Source organism: Homo sapiens, chromosome 7, assembly GCF_000001405.40.
Source record: "Homo sapiens chromosome 7, GRCh38.p14 Primary Assembly".
NCBI classification, from domain to species: Eukaryota; Metazoa; Chordata; class Mammalia; order Primates; family Hominidae; genus Homo; species Homo sapiens.
Window position 1 is genome coordinate 128067869 of NC_000007.14, and position 26355 is coordinate 128094223.

A 26355-nucleotide genomic window follows, 5' to 3' on the forward strand; every position below is an offset into this window, starting at 1 on the left:
GCCCTGAGTCATCAAGGGGAATGTGCATCCCCCTGCTGTCTTTCTCTAGTCTCCATTTCTTAATTATTTTGCCCCCAGTGCCCTCGGCTCCCTTATTTAAGCCAGCCTTACCAGAAGCAGCCTCCAGTGCACCTTCTCCCGCCTCACCCTCCCCGCAACTTCACCATGACCTGGAGGAGGCTTTAGGAGAGGGACCTGGATCTTCAGCTTTGCGCCTACTTGGAAGCACTAGGCATCCAGCTTGGCTGCAGGCTCCAGGCGAGTTAAGGACAGACACAGCTAAATCAACCCCCAGGGCAGTCAGAATTTCCTCCGTGGTTTGAAAGCTGAGTTCTTAAATAATCTTCCCCACACTTACCACATGCATGCACATGCTCACTCTCTCCCTCCCCCCACCCCAAACCCTTCTTTCTTTAGGAAAGATTTCAGAATCTGAAGTCTAATTGCAGAGGGCTAGAAGAAGTTGAGAATGTTGACATTTCTAAAGCCATCATCCATTGCCTGGCTTTCACTTCTCTTCCTTTCTCCAGACCCCTCAGCCCTGCATTGTACCCCAGGCCAAGAATATGCCTCACTGCTTAGAGAAGGAGAAGGACTTGGTCCCCACTGCCTGTTTGACTGAAGTAGTTTCTGTTTTAAGGAGCTGACAGAATCCAGACAATGGGGAGAAGAGGAACAGTTTGGGGTGGGGACAGGGACCAAGTGTATATTTCTGGAGCCCAGGGCACTGAGACTGCTCAGAAAGGGGCCGCAGGAAATGAAACAAGTTCCTGGCCACCCCCTTCCTCCATGTTTGATTTCAGCCACGGAGCTGGGGGCTGCTCCATGCTCTTCTTTTCTCCTCCCCCTTCTCCCCTTCCTCATCCCTGGGAAGGGTGAGACCACAGCTCGGCTGGGTGATCACTGAGGTATGTGTGTTGCCTGGGCATGGGGAGCTCTTCCTCGGTAATTAGGAGACATGGAAATTAACAGCCTGTGCCGTTTGTATTAATTTGGTAAATAAGCCAGAACAATTTCATTAGTGGCATATTAATGTGCTTGGGAGCAGGAGGACACGTCCCACTGTGAGGCAGCAGGGCCCACTGGCTGCTCTAGCCCACAGTCAGGCCAGGTCCAGCGTCGAGCTGCTCTCCTGCAGGGCATGGCTGGCTGGCAGCACCCACCGCTTTGGCCCTGTGATGGGGAAAGACCTCCACTGAAGAGAAAGGGATCTGTGCAGGTGGTACAGGGACAGTCACACACTTGAGCTCATCCTATCAACCCCACTTGCCTTACCTTCACTCGGTATTTCATGGGAGGACTCCCCGGGTGTAAGAAACCCAAAGCTTTCAGAGTCAGGGAGAATAAAGGAGCTCATTAAGCAGGGATTGGCCATTTCTGATGAGAAGACCCTTCTCATCAGAGGTATACAGCTCAGCAAAGCAGGACAGCTGCTGAATGTAACCATCCCACCAGGGCATCACTGGCATTTGTTGAAGGGAAGAGGAAGCAGTTTTGTTACCTCATTCAGTGCACAGGACCCCTCCTCATTTTACCATTAAGGAAACAGTCTAAGAGAGGTCAAGTGAATTACCCAAAAATTCACAGCTAGGACTGGGAGTTGATATCTGACTCCAGAATCCATGCTCTTTCTGCCACCTCATGGGCCAGTCAGTGTGCTCAGCTCTGGAGAAATTTCACAGTCTGGAACAAGCTTCCTTCCCCATGGAGCTGACAGTCTACTTGGAGAATGAAGACATTTAGAAATGAAATAACTGCCCCTACCAGGAAGTAAATAATTTATGATGATCGTGTTGAAGCATTTATGTGCTAAGCACTTTTCTAAGTGCTTAACATATTTATATTAGTTCATTTAATCATAACATCCTTGAGGTAGATGATGTTGCAATCCCAGTTTTACAGTAAATAGAGGCACGGAGAACTTAAGTGGCACCCCAGAATTCATGCAGGTCTAGATAGTCTGGAGCCAGAGTCCACACTTATAACCTCCATGCTGTACACTGCCCCACAAGTGCCAAAGGGAGGGTGAACCCATAGGCATTCAGAGGGTGATTCATGGTAGGCCAGGGATCAGGGAAGCCTTCCCGGAGAAAGTGGCATTGAAGCGGGCAAAGGTGCAGTCCAGGTATTCAGCAACCTCAAAATCCCCACCCACTCTGCCAGCATCAAGAGCAGAGAGCAAGAGATGCTGGCAGACCAGCAGGGCTGCAAGTGAGGCAGACTGCAATGGCTGTCAACATCTGAAGGTCACATTGACCTTCAAGCCTCTAGGCTGTTCGCTTCTTAACCAGTTACCACCAAGCCCCTTCCTCAGTGTGGCACCACCTGCCCCTTCTTATAGTCTCTCGGGAGGTACCCCCCTCCCCCAGAACCATGTGTCTTCCTAGGTCTCAGCTTCAGCATGGGCACTAAGTAGAGGGGAATCGAGAGGAGAGCCCTCATCTGTCCCTCGCCCATGCTGCTTGTGTACATGCACACACATACTCTGGTGCCCTCAAGGCCATATCCACCCACATGTGCACGTCAGTGCATGCTCTCATACGAAGCCTGCTCCCAGCCTTCTAGCAGCCTGTGGTAGTCACCTAAGTCACCTAAGGCCTAAAGTCACCTGCCATTATAGGAGGCCTCCTGTGGAAGCTATTGAGTCCAGAGCTCTTCCTGAAACACTCCAAGATGCCCAAGAGATGAGTGGCTATGTTATAGCAGTTTGCAAATTACACAACACTCCACCAGTAGGATCTCATTTAATGCTTGCAGTAGCCAGTTGGACAAGAAGAAATTTCTTGTCTATTTACAGGAATGAGCCTCCCCTAACGTGTCTTCTGTTTGAGGCAACTTGTGAGACATGTCTCTTTATAGTCTCCAGTTTGAGGCAACTTGTGGGAATTAACTCTATGTGTCTATACAGTATACAGTCGATCTTCATTATTCACCGGTTACATATTTGCAAATTCACCAAAATCTATTTTTGTAACCCCAAAATCAATACTCATGGTACTTTTGCAGTCATTTGTGGACATGCACAGAGTGACAAAAAAAATTGAGTCATCTGGCGGGGCACATTTCCATTTTAGGTGGAACAGGGTAGAACAAGACAACACTCTGCCTTCTTGTTTCAGCTCTGATGATATAAACAAGTGTCCTTCTCACAATCTATTTAGCATCATGTTATTGCATTTTTCATGCTTTTTGTTGGTGGTTTCACAGTCTTAAATGGCCCCCAGCATAGAGCTGAAGTGCTGTCTAGTGTTCCTGAGTGCAGAAATACTAGGATGTGCCTTATGGAGAAGATACATGTGTTAGATAAGCTTCATTCAGGCATAAGTCATTGTGCTGTTGGCCATGAGTTCAGTGTTAATGAGCCAGCAACACATATTAGACAAGGTGTCTTTAAACAGAAACACAGAACAAGGTTATTTATTGATTTGATGAAAATATTGTGACCAGAGGCTCACAGGAACCCAAACCTGCATTTCCCCTAGGAGCAATGGTTCAATATTTGCAAATTCTCTCTATAGAACAAAATTACCATAAATAACAAAATTGAACTGTATGTATATATCTCTGTGTCTATCTTTTAATTAAGAGAAGATGTCAGAGAAATTTGAATCCTTGAGTTGAACAAAGAAATAATACTTGTACAAACATAGACCCACATAATGTTACAGTTAAGTCATAACTTCCTGGCAGTCAATGTAAAAGAGAAACATCAAAGGATGATCACACACATACAACCTGCTTAAACCTCTGCTTTCAATCTCCGTAATTCTCCCAGAGTTCAAGAAGCGTCACACCGAATTCCACAGCCTCGTCCAGGCTGAGGTTTGTGGAGAAGGAGAGACACCGCATGGGGTTTGGCTAGAGAGGAGCCAGCCCACCTTCCCCGAGTGCCTTTGTTTGATTGAGAAATTACTGTGGCTGTGGCAGCTGTAATAAAAGGGAACAGAGCCCCATGGGCGACAGCTTTATCGCCATCTACAACCCAGGATGGATTCGGTGGCAGCACTGTGCCCAAGGCCAGAGATTTCTTTCATCTGCGGCTGGCTGGGCCCAGGGACTTGTCAAGCCCAAGTTAGCATATCGATTGCAGGCGACAGGCTGGTTAAGTGTGAAGCTGGTGCTCACCTGCGCAGGAGAGCCCGGCTGCACCCTGCAGTGTTGGCCCCAGGTGTGGCTGCTCATTGCTGGGTTCCTTCTCATGTAAGCCCTGGAGAAAGGCGAGCATGTGGATTGCAGCCTCAGAGAGCGAGGTGTGAATGTGGGGTTTGCCATGTGGGTTGGGGTCTGAGCATTGGCACCTCACAGGATAGACAGCAACTGTGCGTGCCTGGTTGGTTGCCTCTGCAGCGTATCTCTGACATTCTTGCACCAACCCCAGCAACCCAGTGCTAAGAGCCACACTGGCCCACCACAAGCTGTCTAGTGGCCTGCCAGGCCTGGAGAGAGGCCTTGTGTCCAAGCAGGGCAGACATCCTTGGTTTTAGGGAAAGGACACTTGGCTACTAAAATTGTGGAAGACGAGAGGTCAGGGAATGCGGAAACTGATGTGGGCCTGGGCTCAGTGTTGGCTGGGAACTGTACCAGCCTCATTTGCTTTTGCCCAGACATGTGTCCAGGAACCCCTAAACACAAGGCAAGCAACCTCTCTGTTCTTCCTTCAGCTTCCCCAGAATTCCTCTAGGACCTGCTGCTTCTTGAGCTTAGCATGTTTGATAAAGCTTGGCAAGTTAAGATGAGCAAGAGACAGTCTTCTCATGTATCATTTTGCCCCTCACAGGTCTTGTCCACCCCTACCACACTACCCCCGCCACCTCCCCCAGCCCCTGCAGGCATGACAGTCTGTTCCCCATTCCTGGCCTCCCACTGGAGGAGGCGCTCAGTCTTCCAGTGGCCAAGCTTCTCCTTTGTTCCAGCGCCCTGGGCATTTGCAAGGTGGATCCAAGGTGTTGAAACCTGAGCAACCTCAGATTTTGCCCACCTGCCCTTCTCTCCTACAAGAGTAGGTCCTTCAGCAGGTTAGTTGCCAAAATTAGAGATAGGAGAAACTGGTTTTAACACCCACAGACACTGGACTCTGTCGTGAATTCAGGCACTGGGTCAGCCCAGCCCAGAATTGGGGCCAGCACTTACGCCCAGACTCTACTAGTGAGCTGCAGGGTCCCACGGTCCTGGATGGTGGAGGGGGCAGAGGTATGGCAGTGGAAGGAAGGGCTGCTCCTGAAACAGAAGGCTGTGGAAAGGGGGTATTAGGGAGGGGCAGGGTCTTTTCTGCCAGGAGGCAGTGTAGAGAAGGCATTGGGGAAACCTGGATTCTGCTCTCAGCTCTGTCCCTTAATAGCTACACTTCTCCAGTGCCACCTACAGAATCAACATGGACTGGACCTATATGTTCTCCATTATCTCTTTTTCGTTAATAACTCTAATAGACTCCACATATCCCCTTCTATACCACACTCCAACTTCAGTTGTCATTGAACCTGCATTTCCTCTTGAAGGATCAAATGTGGGCCTCAAGGACGCAGAGGGTATTCAAGGATGGGAGGAAGCGAGGGTCCTGCCTCTCGGGCCCTGCCTGTTTTCCTCCCCGCTACCTTCTCTCTGCACACCCAGACCACCTCCTTGTCCTTCTGGGGAGGCATGTCACCCAGTATCCCTCATCCCTTCTAACCTTCTGTCACTAGCTCCAGCTCCGACCTCGAGAATTCCCAGGTATTTAGACATTCATTTTATTGCTTAATCGAGCTTGAAGGCATTTAAATTAATACAAGTTTTTACATTTGGCAGCAAAGACATTTATAGGCCCCTTTAGCAGGGAAAGAAAGAGGTCAGGAGAAAATCAAAGAAGGAATTTATCCTGGGCAGTGGCCTTCACGATGTGGGAGCAGATCAGCTACCACGAGGGCCACGATCCTGAGGCTGCCCTTTTAGAAAAGCAGTCAGTGCTAGGTCTGTTATCCTGGGTCCTCGGGATGAGACAGTCAGTGGAGGAGGCCTTGAGGCCCGTGGAGATTCCTTGAGGGCTCTGGGGTTCAGCCACAGCCCACACCCTTCTGGCCACTCCTTCTGCGGGATTGTCACTCACTGCCCTTGCGCTGATGCATTTCCTGCCCGCGTCTTTCTGCCTCTCCTGTCCTCTCCCCCTCTCCTCTCCTGCTTTTCATGCAACCACTTTAATTACCTTCATTAGACACGAATTCATTCAGCTCTACCAGGAAAAGCAGCCTCCCTCTCCCCAGGGGTTGCCTCGCTCCCTAAGGACCTGCCTGTCTTCTAGCACAGAGCTGGGGAGGGTGCTGAAGAGTGGGAGGCACCAAGACCTCTGCCTGCTTCTTCACTTGCTCCTGACCTTCAGCTGCGCTCTCTCTCTCTCTCTCAGGTTAAGGAGAATCCCGTTTGCCCCGGTAGCTTTCTGCCGCAAGGAGGGGAAGGGGCTCTGAGAAGAGAGTCGAGTTTTGGGGTGTGTCTGTTCCCGTGAGAGGCTGAAATTGAAGGGTTCTGGGGGTTCCCAGAGGTTGGCAGCGGCTGCCAAGGCCTGTGAGCCCAAGGCTTCGGCGCTGCTGTCCTCCCCACGGGCACAGCCCCTGCACACTCAGGCCTGGCCCCCACAGGCTTACGCCTGTCTCTCTGTCCCAGGTGGAGGTGGAGGTGGAGAGCATGGACAAGGCCGGCAACTTTATCGGCTGGCTGCACATCGACGGTGCCAACCTGTCCGTCCTGCTGGTGGAGCACGCGCTCTCCAAGGTCCACTTCACCGCCGAACGCAGCTCCTACTACAAGTCCCTGCTGTCTGCCGAGGAGGCCGCAAAGCAGAAGAAAGAGAAGGTACATGTGGCAGCCCAGCTGTGCTCTCCCTGCCCTCCCGTCCTCCTCACACACTAATGCTGCTGCCTCCAGAGAACAGGAGGAAGTTCTCTCATCCCCACAGAGTAGCCCAGGAAGGTGTTGGTCTCAGACCCCACACCAAGGCCACACACAGGCGAGGAGAGGCTGCCAGCTGAGGTGTCCTCGGCCACAGCCTGTTGCAGACCTGAGGTGGGCCTGGGCTGCCAGCCCAGAATGTCATCAGTGATCCCAGGCCTGCTCAGGTGGTCCTGAAGCAGAAATCTGTCTAGGTGACTGTGGAGCCATGGGACAAAATGCCCGGGGCGCCCCTCCCTCCCCAGCCCTGACCCTTCTCTGTCAGTGCCCTCAGGACTGGGCGGCCCAAGCCCACATCTGAATTTCCTTCACATTGCCCCGTGGGGAAACAACCCTAGGAGAGGCCTCTAGCTGTTAGGACAAGAGATTTATAGCCCATCAGTCTCTGTGGGCACCGCATTGAAGAGACAAGGGGGATGGGGTGGAAAGTGGCTTTTGGAAACCAATTGACAATTGAGGAATGCAGTGATTTGGAGGTGGGAGCCGGGCTCACCCAGCCTGTTGCTTTTGACTTATAGCCCGGCCCTGATAATGGGGATAAATCAGCTGGCCACCAATTTGTCAGGGCTTCTCTGAGCTTGAGGAGGATTCGTGGGACAGCCGTGCTGAGCTATAAATTTGTTCCAGGAATAAATGCTTCCTTCCCCATGGGGCAGCCATCTGGCTCAAAACTCACTTCCCAGAGCTAAGGCCCGGACACCTGCCAAAAAGAGTCGGGGGCTTTGAGGCCCCAGAAGCACCAGATTCTTCACCAGCCCCAAGCAGCTGCCTCCTCATTCAGGGCATCTCTTGTCCCCTTGGGACTGTCCTCCTGGGTCTCTCTCTATCTATTCTTCCCTTCCCCTGGGGATTGGGGCAGGCAACCAGCCCCTTGGTGGTAGAGGAGAGTGGAGGTGGAAAGACTCCAGGGAAAGGTGGACCACAAAGCTAGCACAGATGAAAGGGACGGTCAGTGCCCTGCAGGAGGCAGCCACCATCAGACCTCAGAGGAGATTCCCACCTCCTGCTCACATCAAGCCTCCTCCTCCCAGAATGAGGGGGAAGCAGGCAGCCTCAGCTCCTATAGGAAAGGAGTCACACGGCTTCTTCCTGGATTTCCTGCTTGTGACAGCTGAACTTAAGACTGCCACCCCCATGTCCTCTGCCTGCTGCAGGGAGAGGGGGGGAGGGGCAGCGCTGGGGCCTCCTGTTTAAAGGTTGGCACTTTCACAGAAGAGTTAGCAGCTGGGGGTAGAGCGGCAAGCCCCAGAGTCTAACGCCCAGAGGCCAAAAGCATCTTCGTCCTTGCCCTGCTTCCTGGCTTTTCAGCAGTGAACCTGGAAGCCACCTTTTCAGAGCTGGGCGATCCTCTACCCTCTAAGAGTAGAGACTCTAGAGGAACCCAGGGGAGCACAGGGAGGGGACTCTGGCCTGAGATGGAAGGGTGGGTTCCCTGCCAGGGGCTGTGCTGAACTCAGCATCGTTATTTACTGCACAGTGGGTTTGTCTGAAAGAGCCCAAGTCACCATTTTGCTGGTGCCACTTGATGACGCTGAGGAGTAATTACCAGTGATTAATTACTTACACGGCCTGCGTGTTTTTATTCCAGTCCAATTAAAATGCAGTGCACAACTCTCAGTGCTAGGGCCTGCCGCCTCCTGGGTCCCTCTCCTGCAAATCCCAGTCTGCTCGTCAAGGATCCTGAGGAACCGAGGCTGGCTTTCTTCCTCCTGGAGGGGCTGTTTCCCAGGAGCAGCACTAGCAGAGCTTTGTAGCAGCTCTAAGAGTTGGCTGAACCCTGATAAGAGCATCTGGTGGCCGGCTGGGGGACAGTAACCTGAGTATCTGGGGTGTACCCAGCCTTGTCCCACTTGATCCCACAAGGGCTGCCTTACCTGTCAAGAGACAGTGGTTACAAGATCCTGTTAGCATCAGGATGCAGGAATGTTTGTGCCTGTAGCTAACCAAGGAAAGGTAATGCTGAGGGATTCTGTGAGACCAGGAAGTGCAGAAGGCTTTAGGGAGTGTGATTGTGTGTGCATGCATTCGTGAGTGTGTCTGTCTGGGGGAATCTGAGAATGCTGGTTTCCCAGCTACGAAGGCTTAACTACCTCCCTGCTGAGTGTAATTCCTCCCTGTGCCCTGTGGATGCCTCCTCAGTGAAGAGGCCGATAGGGCTCTCCACTTCCTTGGCAGGAGGTAACCCCCACTTCCTCCTCAGCAGCCCTGGGCAGACCTGAGGACCAAGGAGGGAACCACAGATGGCAGATGCCTGTCCCCCCTCCTTAACCCCATCTCACACACGTGCTCAGCAGGGCCCTGCACAGGGCTGGATTGGCCATCGATTGGCTTTTATTGAGCTTGGCTTCCCTGCTGCAGGCCTAAAGGCCTCCGCCACCTTGGCCCCTCGCCAGCCCCACCCCTGGAGCCTTGCAAGCAGCAATGTTAAACAGGATTTAGAAAGGAAAGACTCCAGCCAGTGGATTCTCTGTCCACAGTCCTCATCACCTGCCAAGAGAAGGACCTGGGACTCCCTGAGGAGGAAATGCAGGGAAGAGAGAGAGCCAGGGCAGGGAGAGGAGAGGAGAGACAGCCTCCATTCCTGACCTGCCTGGTCTGTGCCTGGCTTGATGGGCTCTTTCCCTCAGGGTGGCCGCAGCAACAGAACACAAGGAGCCCCAAAGTGTAGAGGGGACCCGAGCAAGACAGGAACTTGCATGGCAGAGCAGCCTGGAGCAGATGAACAGGCAGGAGGGGCCTCCATCCACCCTTCCCAGTCTTGCTCTGTAGCTGGGGCCACCGGGGGTACCAGCAGTGCCCCACCAGGGGCAGAGCTCCACCCTGGCCTTGGCCTGGAGAGACACTTCCCCCACCTGACCGCAAACCCTGGCATCAGTCAGCTGGGACAGCCTCTCCACAATAGCAGGCTTAGTAACAGCCTCTCCACATGCTTAGAGGTGGTCCATGAGAAGGGCAGACTGTCCTGTGGTTGGCTCTCCCAGCATTCCTGGGCCCTGCTGCTTAGGTCAAGCTCAGGACCCCTGTTCTCTGCCCAGCTCTTTGGCCATAGAGGCTCTTCCCCAGCTCCTCCATCTTTCAAGAGGCTGGGGTAGAGCCATACAGCAATAATTTTCTGTGTCTGGGTGTACAACTACTGTTTCTTCTGGAGTTTTCCTTGTCATCTCCCCAGAGGTCCAGGAAGAGGAGCATCTACAATGGGGATTCCCAGAAACCAGCTTCTTATGGGAAATCTGAGCTGTGAGGGGCTGAGGATGGCTGTGGAAAGTGGCTGGGTCTGGCAGGTGTCTTGCCAGTGAGTGTGTCTCCTCCATGCACCCCAGCTCTGCAGAAGGGCAGCCTGAGCCAAATGCACCCTTGTTCTAAGGATGGGGACAAGGGCAACCACGCCTGTCCCAGCTGACTGACTCCTTCCCACCAAGGTGCCACCTGGCCAGCCTGCATGGACCAGCTTGCCCATGTGGCTGCAAGTCCCAAGGAACAGCTGGTCACCTCCATCCCCACAGGGAAAGAGGGAACCGTCATGGCTGCACTGCCTGAAGGGCCAAAGGTCAGCCTCTCCTAGAAACACAGTTCCTTTATCTGAGGAGACAGCTGTCTCTCTCCTACCCTCTGTATGCTTCTTGGCAACCTCAAGTGCCAGCCACTTTGTGTATGGAGACACCTTGCTTCTGCTGTCTTCTCAATTCAGGTGGCAGTGTGCACCACCCCACCCACCACGAAGTGAGCTGTGGCACCTTGTTACAGGACTGGCCCTAGTGCTGGGGGCTGAGGGCCATCCCCAAGGCTTTGGTTTGCATCTTCCGTGACCTCACGCCTGCTGCCCACCTGAGCCTGCTGGGAAAGAAGCTCCACCCCACTCTCCCCAAGGAGGACACCTGATGCTGTCACCCAAGGCACTTTTACTTGAGGAGTCTTTAGCAGTTTCTGCTTTCATCCTGTGTGTTCCGAATTCATCAACACTGCTGAGGGGCCGCCTTCCCCCAAGCCAAAGGAGCAGGGTGGGGCTAGGATGGGAGCCCTCAACAGCTTGCAGGCTCAGGGGCCATGGCCCACTCAGGAACCAGCACAGAATGCCGGTCTCTGTTAACAAGCTCAGTGCCGGGAAAGGAGGGAGCTGGCAGGAAGAGGGAAGAGCACCTGCATGGGATGCAGAGCAGAGGACGTGCTGAGGGATTCAGGACTGCAGGGGTGCCTGCTGGTAGGAATGAGGGAGCAGACTCCTGGGTCAGGAGGGCTCCATCCCAGTTCACTTAAGGTAGTGCTGACAGTCTCGTCTCTGAGGCCGAGTGAGTCCCACTGATCCTCAGAGCTGCAAGCGTCCCAGAAGGGCTGGGAGCCCAGGTGTCAATAGGAGTGACTGGCTAAGTAGATACCAGGGAACTTCCAGCTCTGGAGGCCCAGGGCAAAAGCCTCAGGCCCATCAGGACATAGGCTTGGCATCAGAAGCATTTATGGCTCTCTCCTGGCCCTTTCACAGGGAAGCCCACAAGCTAGAGACCCACTTCCCCACATGGGCAGGAAGGCCCTTGAGGGATTAGGGCCTCTGTCCTGACTAGAGGCAAAGCTGTGGGTTAAAGTCCTGCTGCCTGCCTCCTCCCCTCTGGCCAGCCAGGGCTTAGGGGACTAGAAGCAGCAGTGTGTACAGAGGTCTCTGGTGATGGGGACAGGTGTTAGGGTATCAGGAGCCTGGAAGGTGAGAAGGGGTCAGGAACTATTTGGGTAGGAGGCCAGACCCCATACCAGGGGCCCACAAGCCCAGCCATAGAAGGCACTGCTTGATGTAGGATGGTGGAAAGCTTGGGCCTGGGAGATGTCTCAGTCATTCCCCCATAGCCGCTCCTTCTAGTGGAAGAACACACGCTCAGGCCGCGTTAAAGGCAGAAGTGTGGGGTCTGGGTTGACCCAAGGTGGTTCCAGAATTCCAGCATTCCTGCCTTTCTGCTGTGTCCTGAAGCTCCTGAGGAATCTGCATTTCAGCTGAGAGAGAAGAAAGGGGACCCAGAAAAGTTTGACCAATGTCAAATGGCAAGTTCAAAAACAACAGGGACATAAGTCCTCATCTCCCTCCCCACCCCCCACCAACAAACAGCTTTTTCCTCCTGGTTGGTGGTGTTTTCTCAGGGATACCTAGTCAATGCCAAAGTGCCCCTGGAAGAGCTGTAGTGCCAGGCTGCCTATGTTTGAATTCTGATTTCACTACTTCTAGCTGCAAGCCTGTGTACCTCAGTTTTCCCATTTGTAAAACAGGGATAATACCAAGACCTACTCAAAGGGTTGTTGTAAGGACTAAATGAATTAATATTTGGAGAATGTTTAGAATGGTACCTGGCACCTAATAAGCACAGAAGTTTTGGGCAAATACTTTTAATCATCCTTATTCCTGTGTGCGTCTGTGGGACCCCACGCGTGATCCATTCTCTGCACTCTCCCACCCACCCTTCCTGCTGCTCAGCTGGAAAGCCACCTCCCTCCCCTGCTCTGACAGACCTCACCATTTGGATAATCTCCTGGCTGCAGGATTGGACTTGACACGCTGTCGCGTCAAATCAGCTTCTGAGCCACTGCAGCCCTGACAGCACAGGGCTTTGGGGAAGGAAGGGAGAGAGGGAAGGGTGGAGAGCGCATGGCCCAGCTTCTGGGCTGAGGTCAGAGCAACCTGCTGGAGGTGAGGAGGATGGAGAAAGGGAAAGTTGCTGAGCAGAAGCATTCTTGGTGAGCTCTTCCCCAGCCTAGGGCTGTGGCTTGGACTGCTTCAGGAGCACCAGGAGCCCTGTGACAGCAGGAGGTCCTGCAGAATTCAGAGTGCCCTGCAGAGTGCCACGGGGAAGGGAGATGGGGAGCTGGAGCAAGAGAGGTGCGGGTGTGAGGAGCCCAGAGCCAAAGAGTTCATGAAAGCAGGGCTCTCACACTCGGACGTGCATGAGATAGCCTGGGATCTGGTTTTGCTCTTTTTTACTCTCTGGGATGCTCAGAACAGATTGTAATTTGGTAGGCCTGGGGTAGGATCTGGGGCCTGCATTTTTAATAAATTCCCTTGTTGGTTCTGATGCCTGCCAGAATTTGAGAACTGCTAGATCAGGACTTTAGAGAACTCACCTTTCCCCTCCGAGATAGAGGGCTTCAGGGGCTCAGCCTGGTGTGAATCGAGTGCCCCACAGTCACTCGCCCAGGGCCGATCCCATTTGCCCAAAACCCCTTTCCCAGTGTCTTTTTTTTTTCTTCTTTTTTGAGACGGAGTCTTGCACTGTCGCCCAGGCTGGAGTGCAGTGGCATGATCTTGGCTCACCGCAACCCGTGCCTCCCAGGTTCAAGCGATTCTCCTGCCTCAGCCTCCCAAGTAGCTGGGATTACAGGCGCCCACCACCGCACCCAGCTAATTTTTTGTATTTTTAGTAGAGATAGAGTTTCACCATATTGGCCAGTCTGGTCTTGAACTCCTAACCTCGTGATCCACCCGCCTCGGCCTCCCAAAGTGCTGGGATTACAGGCATGAGCCACCACGCCTGGCCTCCCAGTGTCTTTTATGACTTCACTTCCTCGCCCTCTTCTCACCTCTGCCGACTGAACATGCAGGTCTGGGCCCACTATGAGGAGCAGCCCGTGGAGGAGGTGATGCCAGTGCTGGAGGAGAAGGAGCGATCTGCTAGCTACAAGCCCGTGTTTGTGACTGAGATCACTGATGACCTGCACTTCTACGTGCAGGATGTGGAGACCGGTGAGTGCTCAGGCCGCTGGCTCGTGGTTCCTGGCTTGGTCCAGCTGGCGCTGCCTGGGGGTAGGGGGCCTCTGCCCAGTGGGTGGGAGGAACAATGCCTAGGCAGTCCAGGAGCCTCCCCTGAAGAGCTCACGTTGCCGCCCCTGTCTCCCTGCCTTGTCCCACTGCTCCTCTGGGCTTGGAGTTACTTCAGGAGCCTTCACATGAGCCCTGGCTTGGGCTCAGGCATGGAGGTGCTGCCGGACAGGTCCTCTGGACGCAGGTGAGATAACCAGGTTTATCTGGGTGGAGCTCTGAGTCTCTTAGGTGATTGTTTGTTCCTACATACCCCTGGCTATGCTGGGCAGGATGATTTGTAGCCCCCAGAATCTGTCAGGCACCAGCCAGGCATTGCTCAGCCCGTTTCCCTCTGGGGGAGCAAGGAGTGGTGCTGGGTTTGTCTCTGCTGGGGTTTCTCCTTCTCTAGAGGTTAACATAGCCCTGAGTGATAGCCAGTTTCCATGGAAACAGGCAGCGCTCTAGGGGAAGACATCCCCGGGCAGTCTCTGAAGGACCTTCTCCTCCTTCCGTCCTGAGTGGTGTGCACTGTGGCCAGGGTCCCCTGGGCAGAGACCTGGGGTTTCTGGAGGCCAAAGGGCAGGAGAGAGCTCTGGCAGCCGCTAGCCCGACTACACCTCCAACCGCTTACGCTTTCCACCCTGACCTCCCTTTTCTCATGGCCACCCTGTGCAGGGAAACAGTTGAGTTTGGAGCGGAAGGAAAAGCTCTTAGAGCTGCTTCTGGATCCCAGGAAACAAATCATGGTAGGCACAGGTGGACAGAGGGGGCTAGAAGTGTCAGCAGCACTTGGGCAGTCCCCCAGATGGCAGGACACAGCTCTGCCCAGCCTCCTCAGCCCACCCCAGGTCCGCTCCAGCCCCGTCTCAGCCACTTCCCTCTAATGCTGTTTCCCAGGCAGCTGCCTTTGTGGCAGTGTCATTTCACCAGGAAAAACTTGACCATTCCTGGCCCTGGGCTGGCTGTGCTTGAAAAAGGAAAAACGCAAGGGGGAGGGGTAGAGATGGAGCCCACGAGCCTGCGGGATTAGGTTCTCTTGAGGTCAGCCACAGTCCTGCTGAAAGCTGCTCCAGCAGTTGCCTGAATGAACCGGGGCGGTGGCCAGCCTTTAGGGCTGGGTCATGTGACAGGGAAGGAGTCTTGTAGTGGTGGTCTCAGTGGGAACAAGAGCCGTTCCTGGGCAGAGGAACCAGCTGGAATCCACCACCCCAAAATCCCCGCCAGCCCACCAGAGAACTTGAGCAAAAGGATGCGATCACTCCCAGGCAGGCTCTACTCAGCCTCTGGGTCCTGCTGGGGAGGACCCGCCTTGACTCAGAACAAGCCCCTGAAGTCTTAGAGAGCAGAAATCTGAGGCAGAAAACAAGAGAAAAGAGAAAACCATGTGTCCTTAGAATGCTGGAAGAGAAGGGAGTGAGGCCCTTCCTGGCAGGCCACCTGGGGATTTGTGGTGGGCTCCAGAGAGGAAGGCCCCTGCCCTCTGGTGGCTCCATGGTATCCATGGAGATGAACCTCAGGATCCACAGCCCCCTCTCTGCTGAAACCTTTCATCCCCTCTTGGGTGGCATCCTCTCACCCTGTCTCCCTTCTTTCAATTAGAGTCTGTCTTCAAGAGGGATCTGACGAAAACATTGCCATTAGCTGCAAATGACCAGTGAGGCTCTGTAAGGACCTCCCAGAGGGCTTTGCCTGTTGGCAGGAGACAAAGTCCTGCTTCTGTTGCCTTGGAGCAAAAAAAATGAAAGTAGACCAAGTTAGGGAGGAAGCTGTCTGTCAAGGCTTCTTAATCCCTGGAATTTCACTGTCTATGGCAAGGAGCACTGTCTAAAGAGAATTATAGAGGGCTGACCACTGGGTAGGGAGAGGGGCGGCTGCTACCTTCAGGCCTCTGTCGTGTGGATGCAGGACCAGTGGCCTCTGCAGCAGCTTAAGAGTGGACATACATCCCTGCATGCTTATGCAGTTTATTTTCAATGCAGCTGAATTATTAAGCACCCTGCATGCATTGGGGATTCTACCAGGCTTTGTGCAAGTAAACAGAAAGAAGTGAGCTATGCTCTATGCCCTGAAGGAGCTCACAGTATAGTAGCAGGGAACTTATAAGGCTGACTGTGGCAAGTGTAACAACAGACATATGTTGCGCCCTCCTTACAGCACTGCCTTGGGCCTGAAGATAAAGAGAGGAGCCCCACACTTAGACCACAGATCCACAGTCACCCTCCTTGCTTCTGAGACGCAAGGGGCAAAAAAGGTCTGAGACTGAGCTAGAATCAGGGCCAGAAGGGACTGATGCCTCCCAGAGTCAGGGTGGGAGAATTCTACAAGGAGCCAGGGAGAGAAACTGAGTAGGCCCTGGGTGTTGCTAAAACAGGCAAAAGCAGCAAATAAGCAGCAGGACCACTGACCCAAGGTCAGAGTGCTTAGGGAAAGACAAGGCAGGGAATCCCTCCTCCTGTGGCGCAGGGGCCCTGAGTAGCAGGGTGGGACAGTACAGCCCCAGCCCAGCAGCACTGGAAGTCCTGTTCAGCATGTATCTTGCAGGGTGACAAGGGTCAGAGGGGCCAAGTTTGAATAATACTGAGGCTCTAGGCCCTGATCCAAGAATTCCTCCCCCACCTTCCATGGCTTCAATTCTGGGGCCTTTTCCACGGTGGTGTGGGGCCCATCCTTCATCCCTACTTTTGCCCCCTGAAAGACAGTAGACAGTGGCTTCTGTCAGTTACCACCTCTGTGGCCCAGGCCAGGAGCTGGCCTTGCAGGAATGGGGTACGGGCTGGCCAGCTCTCACCCTGGAGGAGGCTGTTTGGATTGTCCTTGCTCCCTGTCTACTTTCTTTCTCCACCTCCTTAATCAAAGCTCAGGCACATCCCAAGGGCTCCCACACCCTGGGCCAGCAGACTGGAGAGCTGAGATGGCAAGGCTGTGTGTGCCTTTAAGGCCCAACATGTCAGCAAGTCACCAGTCCCACTTCTGAAGGCAGATGGCATGAAACCTCTGGAGTGGAGACCAAGAGGGCTTCCCCGCATGGGTTGGGGACAGAGCCAGTGCTGCAGTGCCCCCCAGAATTTTACATTGAGCTCCCTCCCCAACCACTCCCAGAAAAACCCTGCTGAGCCGTCGAGGAACCCAGCACCCAGGTCTCACTGTGCTCTTCCTCCCTGGCAGGCACCCAGTTGGAGAAGCTGATGGAGAACATGCGCAATGACATTGCCAGTCACCCCCCTGTAGAGGGCTCCTATGCCCCCCGCAGGGGAGAGTTCTGCATTGCCAAATTTGTAGATGGAGAATGGTAAGCCACTTGGAAAAGCAAGGCAGAGTCTTGAGCAGGAACGATAGCAGGGCTGTCCTCAGGCCTCAGGTGTTGCCTTAGCAGTCTGGTTTCCCCAGCTGGTTAATGATGGCCCCTAGCAGCTCTCCTGGGTGTCCCTCTTCATTGCCCACAGCCCATCTGGGGCCTTGCTCTGGCCTGTGCACCCCTGCAGTCCAGCCAGACAGAAGTGGCTCCTTCCTTGTCTCCTGGGGGATTCCAGGGTGGGAGCCCTTGCTGGCTGGCTGGCTGGCCGGCCGGCCAGGCTGTCCAGCACACCCCTCACCCCACCCAGGAAGAATGATGTTACAGGGGGCTGAGGTAGAGGCTGGGCTACAGTAAGCCTAAACCAGCTGCCCGACCCTCTTCCCCGGCTGTCTAGGACATGAGCAGCAGTGCTCACAGGCCGGAAGAAGGTCGCTGATGTGTAATCTACCAAGGGAGGGCCCATGGCCTTCCCAGGGTGACGAAGTGACTTGGATATGTTCCCTGCTGCGGCCTCCCAGGCAGATCTGCTGGCTAATTACAGCTGCTGTTTAGTGCACTGGGTTTAAACAGCAGACATCAATCTAGTCATTAGTCTTGTTGCTTTATGCCCCAAGGACACATTAATCTGCTCCACATGCTCCTTTCTCCCTCTTCTGCTCCCAGCTATGCTCTGATTCCATTAGGTGGTGACCACAGTGGCCGAGGCTGGGCCTAGATGGAGTGCAGTTACTGTCCCCTGTGACACCCGTTGAACCCAGGCAGGGAAATGCTGTGCCCCTGCCCCGCCATTGCTGAGGCTCTGGGAGCCCAGAGTCCTCAGGGCTGTCTCTTGAGCTCTGCCCATGATGCCATTGCAGGTACCGTGCCCGAGTAGAGAAAGTCGAGTCTCCTGCCAAAATACATGTCTTCTACATTGACTACGGCAACGTGAGTGTTGGGGACCAGAGTGTTGGAGGGGCTATCAAACACAGCAGCCCCCGAGTCAAATCCATCTGATCTCTCCAAGGTCCCTCTGAGCTTACCAATAGAACAATGAGCATTGGGGCATCTCTGCTGTGCGTGTAACAGGCCAGGCCCCCTCAGTGACCTGGCAAAACTGGGGTCTATGACCAGTGGCTGCAAGCACTGATAGGTCCCGCATCCAGACCCCACGGATGAGTGTCCAGCCACACCCACAGTTCCTCTTCTGCCTGAGGTCTCTGCAGAATGGGGGCAGGGCCTCTGTAGCACATGGAGGGCCTTTACACCCACAGTTCCTGGTGTTCAAGCCAAACTGGGTGTTTGTTCCATGCGCTAATCCCCGGCACATCCCCAAACTCAGGTTTGCTGGGAAGGGACAGTCACAAGGTGACAGTGACTGACTGGCACCCTTGGGAGAAAAATTTCTCCGGCTGGGCCTGGGAGTCTGTTGACAACTCCTGGGAGATTCTCTTGAGGAACAGCAGCCAGCTGGTGAGAAAACTGTCATTCAGGAGGGTGACGCTCCTGAGTCATGGCACTGCTTGTCTGCGTACCTCCCATGCCTTCCTCAAGTACTAGGACTGAGGATCTGTTAGTAGAGAGCCCAGAGTTGGGCCATGCTCCCAACCCATCTCCTGGGAATACACAAAGGAAGAGGTCCTGCCAGACAAGGGTGAACCCAGATGCCTGGGCCAGAACCACAGGCAGGCCCGGTGACCACAGGGATACTTGTCTTGGTGTGCTCCCCTAGCCAGCAGCTGGAGAACCCCCTGGCCTGTGGGAACGTAGTCAGGGAACCCATGTCACAGACAGAAGGGCATTGGGAGGAAATGGAAAAGCGATTAGAGTCCAGTTATACTGCGATTGTTTTCATGGGAACCACTAGGTGTGCCAGCACCAGGCCCAGAGTGAGCTCCCCATCTACTGCTGGACCAGCAGGGCACGTTCTCTCCAGGCTTCACCCACTGGGGAGCCTTTGTACATTGCAAAGTGGAACCAAGTCATGGGATGAACAGGGTGGCCCAGAGTTAGCATTCCCAGAGGCCTGGCCACAGAGAGCTGTCCTGTGAGAGAGCAAGGGGGCAGCGAGTATGTGACATGTTGGCCTGCTGCTTCCTCTGCAGAGAGAGGTCCTGCCATCCACCCGCCTGGGTACCCTATCACCTGCCTTCAGCACTCGGGTGCTGCCAGCTCAAGCCACGGAGTATGCCTTCGCCTTCATCCAGGTGCCCCAAGATGTGAGTCTGGAGTCTTCCTCCTTCCAAAGGGGACTATCCACTGACACTTAGCCGCTGCAGCAGCCCTCATGGGCTGACAGGAGAAGATGGAAACTATGATGGTCTCTTAGTAATAGTACTCAAGAGATGGGAAGTTGAGGAAGATGCCACCGAGGAGGTAGTATTAGAGCATTCCAGCTAGTTCATAGAAGCAGGTAGGCCAGGGTGCATTTGGACAAAGACTAGACCACCACAGCTGGATCCCAGGGGGCTTTTGGGCAGTGGCAGGAGGTGATCAGGCAGTGGCAGGAGGTGAGGTGGGAAAGGGCTTGGTGTCGTGGGGTTGTCTACCCTGGCAAGGAGTTTATTCTTTGTGCTGTATAGGCAGGAGGAATGTGGCACCATTTCTAGGAGAAGTGTGACATGGTCCAGTGTGTTTCTGAAAGTTAGTTCTGATGGCACAGTGAACAGAGGGACTAGAATGAATGGGTGGGAGACAATTGTAACAGTCCAGGCTAGAGACAAAGGTGGTGCTGGGTTTCTTATGTGTGGATGTGTTGCTGTTGGCCAAGAAGAATGAGAAGGAGCGAATTTGGGCAGTGGGACCTCCAGGCAGCCTTACAGTTTTCAGTTGGGGAGTGAGATGAGACCTGGAATTTATGGGTCTGTGTAGTTAAAACCATGCGGTGTACAAGATTGCCCAGATTGAGTATGTGGAAGGTGTGATGGGGAGGAGAGAGAGTGTTAGGAAGTGCTGGGGTCCTGCCATCTGAGAACAGGAGCCCAGAGGCAGCATATGCAGCCAGAAAGGAGAGAACCCATGCTGAGGGTCGTGGATACCCTCTATCCCCAGAAACAGAAAGCCAGTCTACAATGTCCAGATCCCCCGGGAGCTCAGGCAGGTTGAGGCTTCCCAGGGGCTGCCCTTGGCTTTAGCTTTGAGAAGGTGCCTGGTACCTGGAGTGAGAGCTGCGTGATCACCATGGTTGGCACTGTCACCAGATAAAGGGTGCAAATGAAGAATAAGCAAATTTACTCTTTACCTTTTCACAAAGTTGCTGAAGGTCAGGAGAGATGCAACAGAAAATGCTGAAGGCAAGTATCACAAAACACGTCGGTGAAGACAGACATGTGGAGTCAGGTGCAGTGGCTCACGCCTGTAATCCCAGCATAGGAGGCCAAGCAGGGAGGACTGCTTGAGCCCAGGTGTTCAAAACCACCCTGGGCAACATAGCAAGACCCTGTCTCTAAAAAAAAAAAAAAAAAAAAAAATAGCTGGGTGTGGTGGCACACGCCTGTACTCCCAGCTAGTCCCAGCTATTCAGGAGACTGCGGTGAGAGGATCGCTCGAGCCCACAAGTTCAAGGTTGCAGTGAGATGATGACACCACTGCACTCTGGCCAGTCCCTATCTCTCTTTTTTTTTTTTTTTTTTTTTTTTGAGATGAATTCTTGCTTTGTCACCCAGGCTAGAGTGCAGTGGCACAATCTCGGCTCACTGCAACCTCTCCCTCCCAGGTTGAAGTGATTCTCCCACCTCAGCCTTCCGAGTAGCTGGGATTATAAGTGCCCGCCACCACGCCCAGCTAATTTTTGTATTTTCAGTAGAGACAGGGTTTCACCATGTTGGCCAGGCTGGTCTTGAACTCCTGACCTCAGGTCACCCACCCACCTCGGCCTCCCAAAGTGCTGGGATTACAGGCATGAGCCACCACACCTGGCCTAGTCCCTGTCTCTTTAAAAAAAAAAAAGACAGAGACACAGGATGTCATGGACATAGTGCACTGGAGCAAGGTCCTGCTGGAGGAAGGAAGTGAAAGGGCACCAAGTGTAGGTGAGCTTTGAGTGGGAAGAAGTCACTTTTTCTCGGAGACACAGGGCAGGTGGGTGGGAGCACAGGGTAGGAAAGAAAGGGGTCACTTGCAAATAGTCTCTGGCTGAGGGCAAGGAAAAGAAAAGGGGAAGGCTTCCTATCCAGAGCCTGTTTCTGCCTCACTAGGGTTCTTTCTGGTTTGTGTTTTTTTGTTTTTTTGGTATTTTTTTGAGGCCAAGTCTCACTCTGTCACCCAGGCAGGAGTGCAGTGGCGCAATATTGGCTCACTGCAGCCTCCGCCTCCTAGCTTCAAGCGATTCTCGTGCCGCAGTTTCCCAAGTAGCTGGGATTACAGGCATGCACCCCATGCCCAGCTAATTTTTGTGTTTTTGGTAGAGATGGGGTTTCACTGTGTTGGCCAGGCTGGTCGCCAACTCCTGGCCTCAAGGGGTCCACCCACCTCAGCCTCCCAAAGTGCTGGGATTACAGGCATGAGCCACCGTGCCTGGCCAACCTCACTAGGGTTCTCTGGGGAGAAAATTACAGGCCCCTGCTGGCCAGACTTTCTTGGGAGTCTATGGACAGGAGCTGGGGCCCAAGTGGTTGTTCTCTGGCTTGCTCTGACCTGAGTGTGTCTCTGCTCCAGGATGATGCCCGCACGGACGCCGTGGACAGCGTAGTTCGGGATATCCAGAACACTCAGTGCCTGCTCAACGTGGAACACCTGAGTGCCGGCTGCCCCCATGTCACCCTGCAGTTTGCAGATTCCAAGGGCGATGTGGGGCTGGGCTTGGTGAAGGAAGGGCTGGTCATGGTGGAGGTGCGCAAGGAGAAACAGTTCCAGAAAGTGGTATGTGATGTGGAGAGGCGGCCCCAGCATTGCGCCACCACCCTCACAGAGAAAGGGACTGTTCCACAAGCCAGGAAGGGAGCAGGGAATCCACCATCCTGCTGTTCCTGCTGAGGAAAGATAATGGATTTGGGTTTGTTGGTGTTTTTTTGTTTTTGTTTTAAAGCTAATTACATCCCAAATTAATTGGCTGCGGGTTTGGCTGAGAATGCAGCTGCAAACTAGAGCGGAAAGCTTCCCTCCCCATGTACCCCCAGGTGACAGGCGAGAAAGCTTTGCCAGGGGCTATGTGGAGAGGGTCAAGGCCTGTCCCTCCCGCTCTCCCAGTCTCACTGTCCAACAGACAGCTTCCAAGTCAATAACCAACTCCTAACACCCAGTGCCACCCCGAGCCAGAGCTGTCGAGGAGGCAGCACCAAAGGGCCCAGAAAGACTGCCACACAACCCTCTGGCTATTTGGAAAGCCCCTTGGACTTGGAGTCCTGCCTCCACTGTTCTGAGAGGAGAAGCCAGCCTCCTGAGCCCCATCTCCCTGCTTATGAAGTGAGGGGAGGACTAGCTGCCTTGCCACTTCTCAGGGCTGATCGTGACAATCAGTGCGCTCGTACCTGAGAAACAGCTTGCACTGAGCAGCCTTTGGTGATTAGCTTTGGGCTCTGGATACAAGGCAGCCCCTTCCACCCAACACTATACATTTCTGAGTCCCTCTCTACCCTTTCACCAAGCAGCCACTGAGGCCCTATTGCAGACCAGCCCTGCGTCCCAGCTGGGCTGAATCAGCGAACCATCCAAGAGGGCCAGACTTGGGGAAGCTCGGGCCCCCGACAGAGCTGCCGTCTCCTGGCAGAAAGTGATGAGAGGGCAGCAGGATGTGGCCAGCTTCTCCCTATGTTCCTTCAGAGACAGGGGCAAGAAAGGCGGGGCATGAAAACCAAACACTTTCCTCCTCTTCATCTCTCTTCCATTCGCCCACTGCTCTCCCTTCTCCCAGCCCTCCTGGCCTTTCCTCTCTCCCCACCACACCGCAAGCCCACATAATGTGTCGGTGGCTGTGCAGGCTGACGACTCACTGGAACAAGACACCCCTGTGGACTGCCGCTGTGTCTCAAGAGAAGCCCGACCCCTAAGCCCCTCTGGATAGACCCCCACTTTCCTTAGGAGATGGCTCCTAGGAGGTCAGCTTCAGCCTCCCTATAGAATTGGAGATCTTATTGTACCCCATATGAAACTGCCCATAATGCCCCTGCTATCTAGAAAATTCCTTCTGCCGCAGTCCCTGAGATAAACACCTAACATGCTCATTTATTTATTCATTCTATCAGCAGACATTTATTGAGGGCCTACAGTATATCAGTGAGCAAGAAACAGCACCCCTGCCCTGAGAAGCTTACATTCAAGCATGAGGAGACAACAATTACAATGAACATAATAAGTAAATTAAATAGGATATTAGAAGATGATAACTGCAGTGAAAAATAGAAGTGGAATCCAGGGAGTCAGGAATGGGAGGGGAAGGTTGTATTTGTATTGCTCTTGTTTGGTTTGGTTTCTTTTGAGACCGGGTCTGGAGTACAATGGCACAGTGCCGGAATCACGACTCACTGCAGCCTTCAACTCCCTGGCCCAAGTGATCCTCCCACCTCAGCCTGCCAAGTACTGAGACTACAGACATTCATGGGCCACCATGCCTGGCTAATTTTTTTTTTTTTTTAATAGAGATGGGGTCAGCCTGGTCTTGAACTCCTGGGCTCAAGTGATCCTCCTGCCTTGGCCTCCCAAAGTGCAGCAATTATAGGCATGAGCCACCACACCTGGCCTAGGTTGTAATTTTAAATGGGGTTGCCCGAGACCTCATTAAGAGGGAGATACTTTATCACAGACTGAAGCAGGTGGGAGAGGTAGCCAGGAGGACGTGACCAGAGGAGCGTTCCAGGCAGACAGAAGAGCTAGTGCGAAGAGTTAAGGGAAAAGCCAGGAGACTAATGTGATTGTGTTTTCCGTTTTACTCTGAGGGAACTAAGGCTCCATTGGACAGGCTTGAGCAAGGGAGAGCTCTGGCGCTTACCTAAGCATTCTGCAGGGTCCTGCTGGCTGATCATTTGAGGGCAACTCTGACCACTCCCTTTCTTCTCTCGTCCCTCCAGATCACAGAATACCTGAATGCCCAAGAGTCAGCCAAGAGCGCCAGGGTGAGTTCTTACCTTGGGAGCCCCCAGAGGGTACCGAGTTGAGGGGTTTGGCCCTCTGAGTTCCGGTGGGTCCCGTATCCCTGAAGAGCTATTGTCTGTTTTTTCTTACAGCTGAACCTGTGGCGCTATGGAGACTTTCGAGCTGATGATGCAGACGAATTTGGCTACAGCCGCTAAGGAGGGGATCGGGTTTGGCCCCCAGCCCCGCTCACGCCAGTCCCTCTTCCTCTGCCGGGAGGGTGTTTTCAACTCCAAACCCCAGAGAGGGGTTGTAGATTGGGTCCAGCTTTGCTTCAGTGTGTGGAAATGTCTCGTGGGGTGGCATCGGGGCTGCGGGGTGGGGACCCCAAGGCTTTCTGGGGCAGACCCTTGTCCTCTGGGATGATGGGCACTGCTATCCACAGTCTCTGCCAGTTGGTTTTATTTGGAGGTTTGTGGGCTTTTTTTAAAAAAAAAAAGTCCTCAAATCAGGAAGAAACATCAAAGACTATGTCCTAGTGGAGGGAGTAATCCTAACACCCAGGCTGGCCGCCAGCTGGCACCTGCCTCTATCCCAGACTGCCCTCGTCCCAGCTCTCTGTCCAACTGTTGATTATGTGATTTTTCTGATACGTCCATTCTCAAATGCCAGTGTGTTCACATCTTCGCTCTGGCCAGCCCATTCTGTATTTAAAGCTTTTGAGGCCCAATAAAATAGTACGTGCTGTCTGCAGCCCTTATTGATCACAGTGTGGTCCAGAGCATGGAGTCTTGGCAGCTTCACCCAGGAGGAGACCTGGACACTTGAATGACCCCCAAGATAGTCATCCAAATGCCTGGACATTCTCCCTAGAAATAGAGCCAGCTGGGGAAAGCAAGGCAGATCTTCAGAGTCTGAGCAAGCAACTCCTGGACCCAGTGGGCACCACTTGGCACCATGGCCATCATGCAGGAGGCTACAGGTCTTTTTTGACTTCTTGCACATGGCTGTTTTCAAGGACCTTAGAGAGTTACAGCAGCTTGGCCAGCAGCACCCAGGACAATTTACCCACTGTGAATTGCTGGGTCTGGCCTTAGGCAGACCCTGCCAGATCCCCAAGAAAGGATTCAAAAGGAATCAGCTGAGAGCAATGAGGTGATTTCCCTAATTCCTGCTGTGTCTGGGATAGAGTGGGTTAGAACGCAGGCCCCCTGGTTCCTCTCCGGAGAACAGAGCTAGGAGGGCCGGCTTCTCCAAGAGGGACCCAGGTCCCAGGTGAGAGGCCTGTCTGCTCCAGGTTAGCCATTGCTCATGTCTGACTTGATAAGCTCTCCCCAAAAGTCCTCAGGTAGAACTGGCCCTGGAGCTCAGAATCCTCAGGCTGCGTGTAGCCCATGAGGGAGGAGCCATGGTGGTGTGAGGCCAGGAGTCCCGGGGAGAGAAAGTCAAGTGTGAGAGTCACCACTCCCCACACCCATGGTGTCCAGCGCCTCATTATTCCTCCACTGACGGCATTACCTGTGTGCCCCCGCCCCTCCCTGGCACATACTTTGGTGAAACTTGGTGGCACGTCTTTCTGACAGCCCCACATCCCACCAACATTCTGATCTGGGGTGATGCTCCAAGCTGCCATATAAAATTGACCCTTTGATCTTGGGGGCTACAGGGACAGTCAGTGGAGGTGGTAGGGCCTGGCTGGCTGGATCTCATTCCTCAGCTGGAGGTCCTGCCGTAACACACACTTGTTCTGGCCAGGGCTCTTACGGGGTTCTCATGTGTGCTGCTTATACTCAAGGTGCGCTATAGTTAGGTGAGGGTAGGAAGAGCCAGGGAGGGGCCATGGGGAGAAATGTTGAGTCAGTTCAACTCCAGAAACACTAGTTTCCCTTGGTCCTCGTGGGGACTCACAGTTTCTACTTGCAGCGCCTCCGGCTTAGCCAGAACAAGCGCTTACACTGTCTGAATCAGACCCTTTATGGTCCAGTAAACTGTGCTTCCCTTGACTACATGCAGCCCCTTAGGGGGCCCAGGAAGTCAGGAGGGGTGTGGATGATGACTTGGTGTGAATCTCTTCATCATCCCCACTCCTGGAGAAGCTGTCCTGCCCCCAGCAGAGAAGCACACTCTCACCATGGTCTCTGATTTTATTTTTATCCATCAAGAAGAGAATGCCCATCTCACTTATTTCTTGACCTCCAAGGTGCTTCTGGTAGGGTGCGATGTGTATTCACAGTGAACACAATCGGCAGAGGGCAAGATGCCAGCCCACTCTTTTGTGAAAGGGTCTGAAATCATCTCACGGTCTTCACAGTTGCCTTGGTTACATCTGCACCCAAGGATAAACCCTCCTTAGTTTTCCAATTGAAATTATGCCTGAGCCTTC

The 26355-nt window shown here is 53.6% G+C and overlaps 1 protein-coding gene and 1 non-coding gene across 2 annotated transcripts in view, besides 2 other annotated features; both read left to right on the plus strand.

Annotated features, from left to right (window-relative positions):
• The window catches only part of SND1 (staphylococcal nuclease and tudor domain containing 1), a 440400-nt gene extending 415675 nt beyond the window's left edge, over window positions 1-24725 (plus strand). Inside the window, exons 17-24 of the mRNA NM_014390.4 lie at window positions 6634-6822; window positions 13492-13633; window positions 16856-16979; window positions 17843-17912; window positions 19070-19183; window positions 21621-21824; window positions 23969-24013; window positions 24125-24725. Coding sequence (NP_055205.2) covers window positions 6634-6822; window positions 13492-13633; window positions 16856-16979; window positions 17843-17912; window positions 19070-19183; window positions 21621-21824; window positions 23969-24013; window positions 24125-24190 — 954 coding nt within the window. The 3' untranslated portion in view covers window positions 24191-24725. The remainder of the gene's footprint in view (window positions 1-6633; window positions 6823-13491; window positions 13634-16855; window positions 16980-17842; window positions 17913-19069; window positions 19184-21620; window positions 21825-23968; window positions 24014-24124) is intronic.
• Window positions 8739-9240: an enhancer, noted in NCBI's record as "H3K4me1 hESC enhancer chr7:127716659-127717160 (GRCh37/hg19 assembly coordinates)". NCBI's record gives its function as "activates a minimal SCP1, AML or CMV promoter by ChIP-STARR-seq in naive H9 embryonic stem cells {active_cell/tissue: H9 hESC(naive)}" and the evidence as "EXISTENCE:reporter gene assay evidence [ECO:0000049][PMID:30033119]".
• Window positions 9241-9740: an enhancer, noted in NCBI's record as "H3K4me1 hESC enhancer chr7:127717161-127717660 (GRCh37/hg19 assembly coordinates)". NCBI's record gives its function as "activates a minimal SCP1, AML or CMV promoter by ChIP-STARR-seq in naive H9 embryonic stem cells {active_cell/tissue: H9 hESC(naive)}" and the evidence as "EXISTENCE:reporter gene assay evidence [ECO:0000049][PMID:30033119]".
• Window positions 13993-14092, plus strand: MIR593 (microRNA 593). The gene has a single exon (NR_030324.1). It is a non-coding gene; the product is annotated as a microRNA 593 (primary transcript).